General features: G+C 46.7%; 1 protein-coding gene across 10 annotated transcripts in view, besides 1 other annotated feature; it reads left to right on the forward strand.

The window, feature by feature from the left end:
* Positions 1-14,945, forward strand: part of IGF2BP1 (insulin like growth factor 2 mRNA binding protein 1) — a 59,588-nt gene that overhangs the window by 20,725 nt on the left and 23,918 nt on the right. For all 10 annotated transcript variants that reach the window (XM_047435139.1, XM_011524201.3, NM_006546.4 and 7 more), the window contains 3 exons: positions 8,336-8,384; positions 9,184-9,235; positions 14,628-14,691. In XM_047435139.1, the coding sequence (XP_047291095.1) occupies positions 8,336-8,384; positions 9,184-9,235; positions 14,628-14,691 (165 nt within the window). The remainder of the gene's footprint in view (positions 1-8,335; positions 8,385-9,183; positions 9,236-14,627; positions 14,692-14,945) is intronic.
* Positions 5,165-5,459: an enhancer, noted in NCBI's record as "tiled region #671; HepG2 Activating non-DNase unmatched - State 14:Gen5'". NCBI's record gives its function as "activates a minimal TATA promoter and a strong SV40 promoter by Sharpr-MPRA in HepG2 cells {active_cell/tissue: HepG2}" and the evidence as "EXISTENCE:reporter gene assay evidence [ECO:0000049][PMID:27701403]".

The following is a 14,945-nucleotide window of genomic DNA, read 5'->3' on the forward strand; positions in this document are numbered from 1 at the left end:
CCAGACCAAATCAAATCAAACCAGGTCCCCTGCTGGACTGTAAACCCTGTCAAAGCAGGGACCATGCCTATGTGCTGGGTACTGTAGCACAGTGCCCAGCACTGTCCAATAGAAATGCAATGTGAGCCATACATGTAAGTTTCTATTTTCTACGAGTCATATTAAAGAAACAGGTGAAATTAATTTTAAAGATAGTTAACCCAATATATAAAAAATTATCTCAACATGCAATCAATATAAATAATTATTAAAGAGATTGCTTTTTGGAGGGTACTTAAGTTTTAGAAATCTAGTATTCTAAACTAGATTAAAATTATTTCATATTCATTTATTTATTATTTTTCAAGTCAGAGTCTCACTCTGTTGCTCAGGCTGGAGTGCAGTGGCATGATATCAGCTCACCACAACCTCAGCCTCCGGGGTTCAAGCAATTCTTGAGCCTCAGCTTCCCGAGTAGCTGGGATTACAGGCGCCTGCCACCACACCTGGCTAATGTTTTGTATTTTTAGTAGAGATGGGGTTTCACCATGTTGGTCAGGCTGGCCTTGAGCTTCTGACCTCAGGTGATCCACCTGCCTCGGCCTCCCAAAGTGCCTCAACTTTCCGAGTAGCTGGGATTACAGGCATGCACCACCACGCCCGGCTAATTTTTGTATTTTTAGTAGAGACAGGGTTTCGCCATGTTGGCCAGGCTAGTCTTGAATTCCTGACCTCAGGTGATCCACCCACCTCGGCCTCCCAAAGTGCTGGGATTACAGGTGTGAGCCACCACACCTGGCCTAACACTTAAAGTTACAAAATTAAAAATTCAGTTGCTCAGTTGGACTGGCCACGCTGTAAGAGCCTCAGTAGAGCAGCCACATGTAATTAGTGGCTCTTGTAGTGGACGGAGAAGGCCCAGTGTGTAGTAGCTGTCAAGATAACAACAATAACAACAAAAAAGAATGGCTCCGAGCAGCTGGACCCTTACCAGAAACCACCAGCTTCTTGACTTCTGATTAGAAATCTGGTACCTGTTAGATGACGTGAGCATGGTGTGTGTGTTTTTGCAGGTTTGAAACATGTTTGTTGCTCACTCTTTTCCAGTATCCTGGGAACCCCAAACTGGCTCCCAGTCTAGCTTTGTTGTCTAATTGCCTCAGGCTGATTCCTTCTCTACTTGTTGAGATGCCTGCAGCCATGACTGAAGACTTGGATATCTTTGGGATGAAGTTAAATTGTGTTAGGTGGGGATGGGGGTTAGGGAGTGTGCCTTTACTTTGGGGTTATGGATGGATTCGAAAGTCTTCATTAATCCCTGAAATCTTGAAATGGTGTGCAAAGTGCATTTTTCTGGTGGAATGTTCTTGCCTTTTATCCTAATAGGAACTGTTTCAAAAAAAAAAAAAAGTTAAGAACCAGTTATTCAGACTATTAGGACACAGAAAATCCCTCTAATTAAGAAGGTGTTTCCTTATAGGTAGACAGGGTTGATCCCTGTCTGGGGACACAGGACCCTCTAAGATGGACTAACCCTACTCCTAGTTTCCCAGATGTGAGAAACTGAGGTCCAGAGTTGAAGGCCACACATGGAGCCAGAAGCTTGGCCTGGGGGAGGGGTGGAGGTGAAGGTTCTAATCTGAAGATCCTGGTTTAATCCTACTTCTTTGCTGGAGATGAAAGTCCAGGCTTGACTCATGACAGGGGCCCTAGGGGAATTGGGGCCCCAAACTAGACAAGATTCCAAAACCTGCTCCCACCTTGCCCTCCTCCCTTCCTTCAACTGGCTTGCCCCACCCCAGTTTAAAGGCAGTCCTCCCTCTAGGGAGGGGTGAGGGAGGCCATAAACATGATTGAAAATGGCATCCTCGCTTCTGGGTATGGGGGCTGAAAGAAGGAGCAGGTTTGCAGAGGATTAGAGAAATACCAGTCCCAGGGGTAGTTTTCAGTCTCCCATTCACACTGTGCACAGTGCTTTCCTGGGAGGCCTCTTTCTGAGACCATCTCATCTGGTGCATTTGCTCCTTCCTCCCTTGGAGCCCAAGCCCTTGTCTCCTTCCAACCCCCCGTAAGCTCCTCAAGGTTCTGGATTCTTTCGAATAGAACACCAATAGGAAAATTTCATCATTACTTCATACTAGTTTCTATTAATTTTGAACTGCTAATAACTTCAGAACTGGGTGAGCTGGAATTACGTCTTTTTAGTTTTTACCTTTTTATTATGGAAAGAAATATAAACATAAAAGTAGAAAGGATAATGTAATAACCCCTCTGTGTACCATCCATCACTTAGCTTTAAAATTACCATGCATATGTAGTCTGTTGTCATTTTCCCCTGTGCTCTGATTATTTTGAAGCAAATCTTAGACATGTCATTTTATTTGTAACTATTTCAGTATGTATTTCTAAAATATAAGAATTACAATATGACTTTAAAAGATTGACAACAGGAGTGAGCCATTGTGCCTGGCTCCTAACTTATACTTTATTTATTTAGTTTGAGACAGGATCTCACTCTCTCACCCAGGCCGGAGTGCAATGGTGCCATCTCGGCTCACTGCAACCTCTGCTTCCCGGACCCAGGTGATCCTCCCATCTCAGCTTCCTGAATAGCTGGGACCACAGGTGCACACCTGGCTAATTTATATATATATATATATATATATATATATATATATATATATATATTTATATACACACACACACACACACACATACACCCACACATATATATACACACACACACACATATATATACACACACACACATATATATGTATGTATTTTTTTGGGGGGGTGGGGTGGGGTGGGGGACAGAGTCATGCTATGTCACCCAGGCTGGAGTGCAATGGTGCGATCTCACTGCAACCTCCCAGCCTCTTGGGTTCAAGCAATTCTCATGCTTCAAAGTAGCTGGGGTTACAGGTGTGCTCCATTACGCCCAGCTAATTTTTGTATTTTTAGTAGAGACAAGGTTTCACCATGTTGGCCAGGCTGGTCTTGAACTCCTGACCCCATGACCCACCCACCTCGGTCTCCCAGGGTGCTGGGATTACAGGCGTGAGCCACCACACCTGGCCCTAACTTCTCCTTTAAAGGAAGGGAATTAACACGCCAGGCTCTGAGATTCATTATCTCATATAATTCTCCCTACCCACTAAGGTGGTATCAACGGATGTTTTACAGACCAGGGTACTGAGATAGAGAGGTTGAGTATCTTGTCTAAGTCACACAGCCATGCAGAACCACAGCCAGAATTTGAACCCAAAGCCTGTTTGAATCCAGACTCTTCGCACTGTCCCTATGCTGCCTTTTTGATGACATAAAAGGGACAAAAAGCATTTGCCAAAGTAAACTCACTTTAGGCTGGAGGACAAAATAAAAAACACTTAAGAGTTCACACGACCCAGTGAACAGTGGGTCTGCACCGTGGAATTGCACTCCGATAAATCAAAACATCCCACCTATAATTCTTTAAGCTATTAACTTCTTCTTCCAGCAGCGTATTTCCATAGTTAGTTGAAAAGTGATTATTTGGCATATTGAACATTGACTAGGTATTTGATGACATCAAGAAATTATTGTCATCCTGGTGTGGTGGCTCACATCTATACAGCACTTTGGGAGCTGAGGTGGGAGGATCGCTTGAGGACAGACAGGAGTGTGAGACCAGCCTCGAAAACATGGTGAGGCCCCGTCTCTACAAATTAAAAAAAAAAAAAAAAAAATTGGAGCCAGGCGTGATGGCGCATGTGCCTGTGGCCCCAGCTGCTCAGGGGGCTGAGGTGGGAGGACCCCTTGAGCCTGGGAAGTCGAGGCTGCAGTGAGCCAAGGTCTCACCACTGCACTCCAGCCTGGATGACAGAGCAATACCCTGTCTCAAAGGAAAAAAAAAAAAGCAGGCTCTTCCCTAATTGAGAACTGTTTTCTTTTCTCTTTGGTGTAAGTCAGTGACACTTCTCTGAACTCTTGAGGTATGAAGGATGAGAACTCTCAGCCCAGGGAGAGTTCCCAACCTCATCTCCCTCCCAGGGGCCCTGCTCCCTGTGCTTCCTGAATCTCTTACTTCCTACATAGCTTTTTAAGCTGTTGCAAGGATGCTCTTTCCCTCTGTTTTCTCCTGAATCACCCCTGGGCTTCTGGAGGATGGTCACTCAGTCTTTGTGGCTCTTATGCCTCCTCCTTGGCCCAGCAGCGTTTGAGAGGTGAGTCCTCAATAGCTGCTATGTATCTGGCAAGCTGCCGCCCCCGTCCCCACGTGCCCCACCCCTGGCCCAGGACCTGATAACTGCTCTGTACATCAAGGAAGGCAGAGGACACCAGAAGCCACAGCATGTTGGCACCCAGAAAAATAGGCTGGTGCAACTGTTGCCTTTATTGCCAGGGGCTGGTTGCTTCATTCTTTGAATCCACAGGTTTATCAGCTATAGGAGGGTGGTGGGGAGGGACTAATGAACTCAGAGTTCACCTTCCTTTTCTGAACAATGGCTGTTCATCGGTTTAGGCAATCCAGGCATATAGAAGGTGCCCAGAAGATACTGCCCATAGGGCAAAGGCACTTCTCAGCTCTGGTAGAAGCTGGTCTACTGAAGTGCTGGAGCGGGTCCCTGGTCCCTGGACCCTTTAACTGGGGAGATGGGGGTGGGGCTCTAGGCAGTGGTATTTTTCACTATTTTCCCCACCAGTGCAGAAGTAAAATCTTAATAACTGTTAACTATTGTCAGCCCTACCCGCCTGCCTCTTTCCATACTAGTCTGGATACTCCAGTTCCCTGGGACTGGGGACTTGGACATGGTTTGAGTGCTTACTACATGGCAGGCAGCTTGTTTTATAAAAGCCTTATTCAAGTTTCATAGGAGGTAACTAAGGTTCAGAGTGAAGAAGTAACCAGTTAGGGTGCTCTTAGCTTCCATCTGGATCCCCCAAGTTCCCAACACACTGCCCCAGCTCAGCCTACACCAGGCCTTCTCTAAGTGTTTGTGGAATGAATGAGACTGGGACCAAGGGAAGGGAATACGGGTTACAGTGATCAGAAATGCCCCATGTGCTTTGAGGCCTGAAAGAAATTAGGTAGCACCATATTTAATAGAAACCGGGCCAAGGGCTTAAAAGACAAAGGTTCTTCACGGCCTCTGTGCCTCCCTGCCCCCCGCCCCGCCCCTCCCGCTGTTGTGTTTTAATCAGGGCTGGGGGCTTTGTTGAAAGGAGGCAGCCTGGAGGGGCCTGGAGTGGGTTCCCAGGGTGGGGTGTGTACCCTGGAGGGCTGGGTGAGTCCCTGCTGGTTGGGGGCAGGGGAGGGCTGCCAGGATGTCTTTTCTTTCATTGGTTGGGTGGCCCTGCCCTCCTCCCCCTCCCTCTCCTGGAACATTCCAGACATTCCAGACGATCTGCCTGCCATTGCTTTCAGGATATGGATTAACATCCTAGCAGAGATTTGATTTCACCACTGCCACCCTTCTCCCTTCCCCCATCCCCTCCACGAAAGAAAGCCTCTAAAACTGGGAGTTTGAAGTGCGAGGGAATTTTGACCTTTGACCTTAGATTGTACTAAGGGACCATCTTGAAAGAGCACACTTCAAACTGGGCCCCTAAACTGGGGTTCCCTTAGGCCCTTACTGGTTTGAACTCCCAGGTAAGCCACCCCCACCTCTCTGCCCTTCATCCAGACATCCAGAAGTGTTCCCTTGAGGGAGGTCCTGGGCCTGGGCCGAAGCAATACCTGTTATAGGTGTTAAACTAGGTCTGCGTTCTCAACCTTCCAATGGCATGGCCATTTCTTTTCCTCATTTCTTCCGGCAGTTTTGCTTTCATTGTGAGGGCTTCTACATTTTCAGTCTGTCTAGTTGGTCATCGAATGAGTTCTAGGAAATTCCTCACAAGGGTAGATGTGGGGGTTCCCTCTTGGCCAATGAATTGAATCACAAAAAGGTGGTCTGATGGCATCTGGGGACCTGGAACTGGATTTGTATCTTACTATTTTGTCCTGCTATAATCTGACTTACTTAGGTCAAGTTCATGAACAAACCAAAGAAGACAGCCAAAGACAGAGATTCTCTTCAATGTTTATTTCCTTCTTTCCCCATTATTTCATCCCTGGGAGAGATTTCCTTAACATATTTTATGGATGAAGACTCTCCACATTTAGAATTGCAGGCTAGAAAAGATCATAAAGATCTTGCTGTACCCACTGTAAACCTGGAGATACTGAGGTCATATGGGTAAAGTGAGTGAACTGGCTCAGGACAGCCAAGGTCAACACTTTTACAACTAGAGCTTAGCATCCCCCTTCCCTGTTTTCAAACCCCTTCCCCCAAGCTTGGCAGGGCTGGCACTGTCCCCATTGCATGTCAGGTAGGAATACTGAGGCCCGAAGCTTAAGAGAGGCTTAATTAGAGGGACAGCCAGTCAGGGGCAGGTTAAGGGCTAGACTTTCTTGCTTTCTAGTTCAGTTTTCCTTCAAGCCACTAGAGTTTTTTTGGACATTGTCCTTGGACTAAGAGTTTATGATCAAGGATAAACAAAGATATAAATGCAATTGGCCAATGCATCAAGTCAATTTAAAAATCTTAAACCCAGGGATTAGCGCATTTATTTGGGTGGTGAGCGAGTGATCTGGGAGTCGACCCTGAGCCTGAAAGCCTTCCTCAGGGAAAACTACCTTTTTTTTTTTTTTTTAAACAAGTCTCATTCTGTTGCCCAGGCTGCAGTGCAGTGGTGTGATTTCGGCTCACTGCAACCTCTGCCTCCCTGGTTCAAGCGATCCTCCTGCCTCAGCCTCCTGAGTAGCTGGAATTACAGGCACGTGCCACCACACCCTGCTAATTTTTTTTTTTTTTTTTTTTTTTTTTTTGTAGAGAGGAGGTTTCACCATGTTGGCCAGGCTGGTCTCCAACTCCTGACCTCAAGTGATTCGCCTGCCTCAGCCTCCCAAAGTGTTGGGATTACAGGCGTGAGCCACCGCGCGTGGCTAAAAATTACATTTTAAAGATGGGAAGAAGAAATTACCTGGGCATAGTGGCATGCGCATGTGGTCCCAGCTATACAGGAGGGTGGGAGCTGGGAGGATCACTCGATCGCAGCAGGTCTAGGCTGCAGTGAGCTGTGTTTATGCCACTGCACTCCAGTTTGGGTGACAGAGCACTTTACAAGATTGTTAATAATAATGATAATAAAGATGGAAAGAAGACAGTACTGTATAGTTACTGGGAGAGGGGAAGGTAGTGGCATTATGCTGACTTGTATGTGTGTTAATCACTCCCACCTTAGTATTCACAGATACATCTATTGTTATACTTCAAGTACTTACATTTTCTAGCATCACCTACCACCCTACCACCCTGTGGAAAGGTATTATCTCTGTTTTACGTAGGAAGAAACGGCCTCAAAGAGGTTAAACAATCTTGTAAAGGTCAGTATTAGTAAGTGGAGCATAGGTTTAAATCCATATCTGTGCCAAGGACTTAACCACTGCACTATATCTTGCTGTGATTTGTTTGCATATATTATCTCACCTAATAAATTGTGAACACCTTCAACCAGGCATTTTGTCTCCTTTGTTTATTTGTGTGTCTCCAGCATCTGGAACAAAGTAGTATGTGAAGTAGGTATCAATTAAATGGTTGTTAGATTAATTAATAATAATGTCTTGGGCCGGGTGTTGTGGCTCATGCCTGTAATCCCTGCATTTTGGGAGGCCGAGGTGGGCAGATCATCTGAGGTCAGGAGTTCAAGACCAGCCTGACCAATATGGTGAAACCCTGTCTCTACTGAAAATACAGAAATTAGCCGGATGTGGTAGTGCACACCTGTAATCCCAGCTACTAGGGAGGCTGAGGCAGGAGAATCGCTTGAACCCAGGGGGCAGAGGTTACAGTGAGCCGAGATCGCACCATTGCACTCCAGCCTGGGTGGCAGAGCGAGAGACTCTGTCTCAAAAACAAATAAAACATAAAAAATAATGTCTTATTTAGCTTTGTATTCCTAGTGCCTGGAACATAGTCATGGTAACCTGCTTACTGAATAAAGGAATGAGAAAGTGGTGGGACAAACAAAGTGTGTGTGTGTGTGTGTGTGTGTGTGTGTGTGTGTGTGTGTGTTGGGAATGTTAACAGAGTGCTTAGAACACCTGATTCTGCATTCCTAGGTATGGTAGCATCCATGATAATTTTGGTCTCTAAAGCGGGTACCCCTACTCCAAGTCTCCATTCCTAAAAGTGTATTCTTAGATTTTAAGACTATGGTGTTGGTGAGCAGAAGGTGGGGAAATAGAAACTGGGGCAAGGATTAGAAACTGCGAGTTCACAGACCCCTAATGTATTCAGAGCTTTCTTTAACTCTGCTCCCCCTTTACTTTCAGGAGCCGGAAAATTCAAATCCGAAATATTCCACCCCAGCTCCGATGGGAAGTAAGTGTTTGGGGGAAACTCTAAATGGAGTGGGATAGTGGAGCCTGGAAAGTACGTCTGGACTAGCTGGAGTTGCCAGAAATGATTGGGGAGGTCTGGGGCCAGGCTAGGGAGGCCTGGGTCTCATCCTTTCTTTCTTTTTTTCTTTTTGAGTCTCATCCTTTCTTCTTTTTCTTTCTTTCTTTTCTTTCTTTTTTTTTTTTTTTGAGATGGAGTTTTGCTCTTTTTGCTTGGGCTGGAGTGCAGTGGCGCGATCTCGACTCACTGCATCCTCTTCCTCCTGAGTTCACGCGATTCTTCTGCCTCAGCCTCCCAAGTAGCTGGGATTACAGGCGTGTACCCCCATGCTCAGCTAATTTTGTGTTTTTATTGGAGACAGGGTTTCACCATGTTGATCAGGCTGGTCTCAAACGCCTGACCTCAAGTGAGCCACCGTGCCTGGCCTCATGTAACCCACAGCCCCATCTTTAGGTTGTCCCTATGGTGAGAGACATTAGGGAGGTGGATGAGTGTTTCCTAAGCCCTAAACTTGGTAATATGGCAGAAGATAATTTAGGGACCCAGGCAGCCCAGGTCTGCTTCCCAAAAGGCCCTTAAGGCAGAACTTAAGTACACTCCTGCAAAGATACCCCATCAGCATTAGCACCCTAGAAAGGTCACACTGGACAGGTAATAATGCTCAAACACTCCTATGGCTCTGTCAATGCCCGATTGCTTTGGGATGCAGGGTGTCCAGTGGCTGCTTTGCAAGGGTCTTGGGACTCAGAGTTAAGTGTACTTCCCTTCTCCATTCTCCTAGGTACTGGACAGCCTGCTGGCTCAGTATGGTACAGTAGAGAACTGTGAGCAAGGTAAGAGTGGGCCGGGTGTGGGGTGGCACTCGTGGTGGGGGTTGGAGGAGTTTGGTGCATTTGTTCTGCTTCACTTTGTTTCTTTCTTTTTCTCCCTTCCTTCCTTCCTTCCTTCCTGCCTTCCTTCCTGCCTGCCTTCCTGCCTTCCTGCCTTCCTTCCTGCCTTCCTGCCTTCCTGCCTTCCTGCCTTCCTGCCTTCCTGCCTGCCTTCCTGCCTTCCTGCCTGCCTTCCTGCCTTCCTGCCTTCCTGTCTATCTTGCTCTGTCACCAGGCTGGAGTGAAGTGGCGCAATCTCGGCTCACTGCAACCTCTGCCTCCTGGGTTCAAGCGATTCTCCTACCTTAGCCTCCTAAGTAGCTGGGATTATAGGCACGTGCCACCATACCCAGCTGATTTTTGTATTTTTAGTAGAGACGCGTTTCACCACGTTGGCCAGGATGGTCTTGATCTCCTGACCTTGTGACCCACCCGCCTCAGCCTCCCAAAATGCTGGGATTACAGGCGTGAGCCATTGCGCCCGGCCTCTGCTTCACTTTCTGTGATCAAATCTACATTGAAAACCAAAAGAAGAAAGGCAGATAGAATGTGTTAGGCGGGGAAATACATTGGATTGGGGGCGTGGACTCCTGGCCTCGGCTTCGGATCTTGGTTATCTGTGGAACTGGGTTTCTCTTCTGTTTAGCAGGAGGCTTGAACAAAGCCACTCCTTCCCAGCCTGGAGTCTCCAGGCTCTTAGGGATCAACCAAGGTAGAAATGGCTATCCCAGGATTTTAGAACTAGTCTAAGAACAGAAATCTTGCATTCAATCGGAGTTACTCTGCAGCCGTTTTACTTGAAAAGCTTCGTGTTTCTTGCTTTTGGCTGGAATAATCAACCGGTTGTCTCTTTTTAGAAGCTCTGATTGGTAGCAATATATGTCTTTGGTCAATTAAAATAAAAAGCAGAGGATTTATTACTTAGTTAATGTAGTTCAATAGGTAAGCAAAGTCTTTTGAAGAGTAGGCCCACAGAAGGAAAAATGATAAAGAATTCTAGGTCATAAAAAGTTTGCCAGCCGGGCGCGGTGGCTCACGCCTGTAATCCCAGCACTTTGGGAGGCCGAGGCAGGCGGATCACGAGGTCAGGAGATCGAGACCATCCTGGCTAACACGGTGAAACCCTGTCTCTACTGAAAATATAAAAAATTAGCCGGGCGTGGTGGCGGGCACCTGTAATCCCAGCTACTTGGGAGGCTGAGGCAGGAGAATGGCGTGAACCCGGGAGGCGGAGCTTGCAGTGAGCAGAGATCGCGCCACTGCACTCCAGCCTGGGCGAAAGAGCGAGACTCTGTCTCAGAAAAAAAAAAAAAAAAAAAAAAAAAAAAGTTTGCCGGCTGGGCACAATGACTCACACCTGTAATCCCAATACTTTGGGAGGCCAAGGTGGGCAGATCTCTTGAGCCACGAGAGTTTTGAGACCAGCCTGGGAAACAGTGAGACTCCATGTCTACAAAAAATTAGCTGGGAGTGGTGGTACATGCCTGCAGTCCCAGTCACTAGGGAGGCTGAGGCAAGAGGATTGCTGGAGCCCAGGAGGCCAAGGCTGCAGTGAGCTGTGATTGTGCCACTGCACTCCAGCCTGGGTAAGCAAGACTCTGTATTGTCTCAAAAACAAAACAAAATAAGTTTTGTCCATTTAGTAATGGAAAGTGACTTTGGTTGGACATAAGGCGGTCTTTAGGTAGATAAGATACTGGGTTAGGTTTGGAGATCTTCAAGAAACAAGTGGATAATCACTTGGTTTGAGATTTAAATATTCCTCTCCAAATTATTTGTGGAAAGGGGCAAGTTATAAATGATTATAAATGATGAAAACCTTCACCCACGCAAGAGTAAACTGCTGAATCTATCAAACACATTCTAACCTGCTCTAATCCTGTGGCTTGCCTTTTATCTTAAATGCCAGGATACAACAGGACTCACTGATAACTACTGCCCAGTACTGTTCACAGTTTAGACTAATGAATAAGTTACTCCTGGACAAACAGTAAGATTGAGCAGTGGCTTGGGAGCAAGTGCATGCTGAATTTCACTGAGAGGTGTGTAAGGAATCAACACTAGTTTAAATTTATCCAAGGCTCACTAGGGAGCTGTAACACACCCTGTCTGGAAGGATATCTGCTACCTGGAGAGAACAGTATGGGAAATGTTTGACTTTGTTGGACAGTAGAGAAAGTCCTTGAGTCTGCTCAAAAGTCACTTTGTGAGTGAGGTCCATTCTTTCTACCTATCCCATCCTCTTTCATCTGATTTATTATTATTATTATTTGAGATGGAGTCTCACTCTGTTACCCAGGCTGGAGTGCAGTGGTGCGATCTTGGCTCATTGCAACCTCCGCCTCCTGGGTTCAAGCGGTTGTCCTGCCTCAGCTCCCAAGTAGCTGGGATTACAGGCACCCACTACCATGCCCAGCTAATTTTTGTACTTTTAGTAGAGATGGGGTTTCACCATATTGGCCAGGCTGGTCTCGAACTCCTGACCTTGTGATCCGCCCACCTCGGCTTCCCAAAATGCTGGGATTACAGGAGTAAGCCACCGCACCTGGCCTCATCTGATTTATATTTTTCCATAGCAGTCATCACTGTCAAATATTCTGTAGAACTTGCTTATTTATTATGCTTATTGTTATCTCTCCATAAGCTCCACAAAGGCAGAGGTTTTGTTGGTTTACTACTGTATTTCCAGTCACTGGAAGATTGTTCTTGCAGAAGCTTCCTTACCACTGAGGAGGGAGAGACCTACTGATGAAGACCAGAGCAGTTAAGAGTGGCCTGGGGCCTAGCGTGGTGGCTCGTGCCTGTAATCCGAGGACTTTGGGAGGCTGAGATGGGAGGAATAGCTTTAGCCCAGGAGTTAAAGGCTGCAGTGAACTCTGATTACGCCACTGTACTCCAGCCTGGATGACAGATTCTTTGCACTGAAGTTTGTGACCAAGTGCCTTATCTGTCCTCAGTGTTGTGGGGGGCAGAGGCTTAATTTAAGCCAGGGTCCCCCACCCCATGGTTGAGCAAGCCCAGGGGACCCAAATTCACAAGACATTGATACAGGAGAAGGAAGGTTAACTTTATGTATTTATTTATTTATTTTAGAGACAGAGTCTAGCTCTGCCTCCTAGGCTAGAATGCAGTGTGATCATAGCTCACTGCAGCCTCAAACTTCTGGGATCAAGTGATTCTCCTGCTGCCTCAGCATCCCAAGTAGCTGGGACTATTGGTGTTTACTACTGCACCCGGCTGATTTTTTTTTTTTTTTTTTAATTTTTTGTAGAGACGGGGTCTCCCTATGTTGCCAGGCTGGTCTCAAATTCCTGGCACCACCTTCTGAAGTGATTCTCCCACCTCAGACGGTTAATTTTAATAATTGTAAGTGAGAAATATGTTTCCAGACTGCTTGGGATTCTAATGTCAGCTTGCCAAACCATTTTCCTAGTTAGAGCCAAGAATTTTGATGGGATCAATGACTAGCATCCTGAGGCTACAATGGCCACATCCAAGACAGGAAATCCTTTCCCCTGGAAAACATGCAAATTCTTTTTTTTCTTTCTAGACTTCTACAGCCATTCCTGTCAGTCCATTTAGCTGGACTTTTTTTTTTTTTTTTTTGAGATAGAGTCTCGCTTTGTCACCCAGTCTGAAGTTCAGTGGTGCAGTCTCTGCTCACTGCAACCTCCACCTCCTGGGTTGAAGCAGTTCTTCTGTCTCAACCTCCCAAGTAGCTAGGATTACAGGCATGCACCACCACACTTGGCTAATTTTTGTATTTTCAGTGGAGACTGGGTTTTGCCGTGTTGGCCAGGCTGGTCTTGAACTCCTGACCTCAAGTGATCCACCTGCCTCAGCCTCCTGAAGTGCTGGGATTACAGGCGTGAGCCACTGTGCCCGGCCTCTGTTTAGCTGGATTTTAATACACTTTGGTTCTTGTGTCCTTGAGGATACATAGGCCTCTAGAATGGATTTAGGTGTTTCCAAGTGTTGTCAGCCATATCTTTGCAGGCCATTTCTTGGGATGTTTACTTCTATAAATTGCTAATCTCATTCAGCGTGTGTTGATTTTTAACTAGTTGAACTTTTTTTTTTTTTCTTTTTTGAGACAGAGTCTCGCTCTGTCGCCCAGGCTGGAGTGTAGTGGCACGATCTTTGGCTTACTGCAACCTCCACGTCCCGGGTTCAAGCGATTCTCCTGCCTCAGCCTCCCAAGTAGCTGGGACTATAAGCGCATGCCAGCACACCCAGCTAATAATTTTTGTAATTTTAGTAGAAATGGGTTTCACCATATTGGTCAGGCTGGTCTCAAACTCCTGACCTCAGGTGATCTACCCGCCTTGGCCTCCCAAAGTGCTGGGGATTACAGGTGTGAGCCACCGCTCCTGGCCAACTAGTTTAACTTTCTAAGGGGAATTTACTCCCAGGTTGTGTGTGTATGTGGAGGTGGGTAGTAGTGTTTGCCTTGCTGTATAGCCTTGTTGTACAACTGCTGATAGGGTGGCTACACCCATTTGTATATCCACTTTCTTGGGAACCGGCTGAGGAAATTACAAAAAGCAAGAAGGTAAATTTGAATTTTCTTTCTTTGTTTTTCTGAGACTGGCTCTCACTCTATCACCCCGGCTGGAGTGCGTTGGCTCGTTGCAACCTCCGCCTCCCAGGTTCAAGCGATCCTCCCACCTCAGCCTCCTGAGTAGCTGGGACTACAAGGGTGCACCACCACGCCAGGCTAATTTTTGTGTTTTTTGTTAGAGATAGGGTTTTGCCATGTTGACCAGGCTGGTCTCCCAAGCTCAAATGATCTGCCTGCCTCTGCCTCCCAAAGTCCTGGGATTATAGGCGTGAGGTACCATGCTCTGCCTGGTAAATTTGAATTTTCTAGTAGCTTCCTTGAAAGGGGAAAAGTTTTTTGCCTTTTTATTCAAGTTGGAGTATCTGCCAGGTGTCCTTTTCTTTCTTCTTTTTTTTTTTTTGAGGTGGAATCTCCCTCTGTTGCCCAGGTTCGGAGTGCAGTGGCATGATCTGGGCTCACTGCAACCTCTGCTTCCTAGATTCAAGTGATTCAAGCAGTTCTCCTGCCTCAGCCTCTCCAGTAGCTGGGACTACAGGCACGTGCCACTACGCCCGGCTACTTTTTGTATTTTTTAGTAGAGACAGGGTTTCACTGTGTTGGCCAGGCTGGTCTCCTGGGCTCAAGTGATCCGCCCGCCTCGCCCTCCCAAGATGCTAGGATTTGCAGTTGTGATCTACCGTGTCTGGCCTGCCAGATGTCTTCTTGATCTCAAAACGTGGAAAGCTGGAGTTGGGGATTCATTGATTGGGCCTCCAGATTTCCCTGCTCTGAGGTTATCCTCTCTTTTCTCTGCAGTGAACACCGAGAGTGAGACGGCAGTGGTGAATGTCACCTATTCCAACCGGGAGCAGACCAGGCAGTGAGTGGGCTGGGAAGTGGGGCTGGGTGCGGTGGGGGGGGGTTCTGTGAAGGGTGGTGTGAGCCTGGTCCCACTTTTTCCTCAGGGGGGTCTAGGCAGGCTGGGTCCCCATCCAGGGTTCTGATATTAGCCCAAGCCAAACCTAGAATCTTCCATAAAAGGTTTCTTCAGGGGGTCTCCTTCATGTCCATTGTTTCAGGGATCTCAAAGGCTCAGAAACATCAAGATTGATAGCAAAAATACATAGAAGGGAG

This window comes from Homo sapiens, chromosome 17 (genome assembly GCF_000001405.40).
Source record: "Homo sapiens chromosome 17, GRCh38.p14 Primary Assembly".
Taxonomy (NCBI): domain Eukaryota; kingdom Metazoa; phylum Chordata; class Mammalia; order Primates; family Hominidae; genus Homo; species Homo sapiens.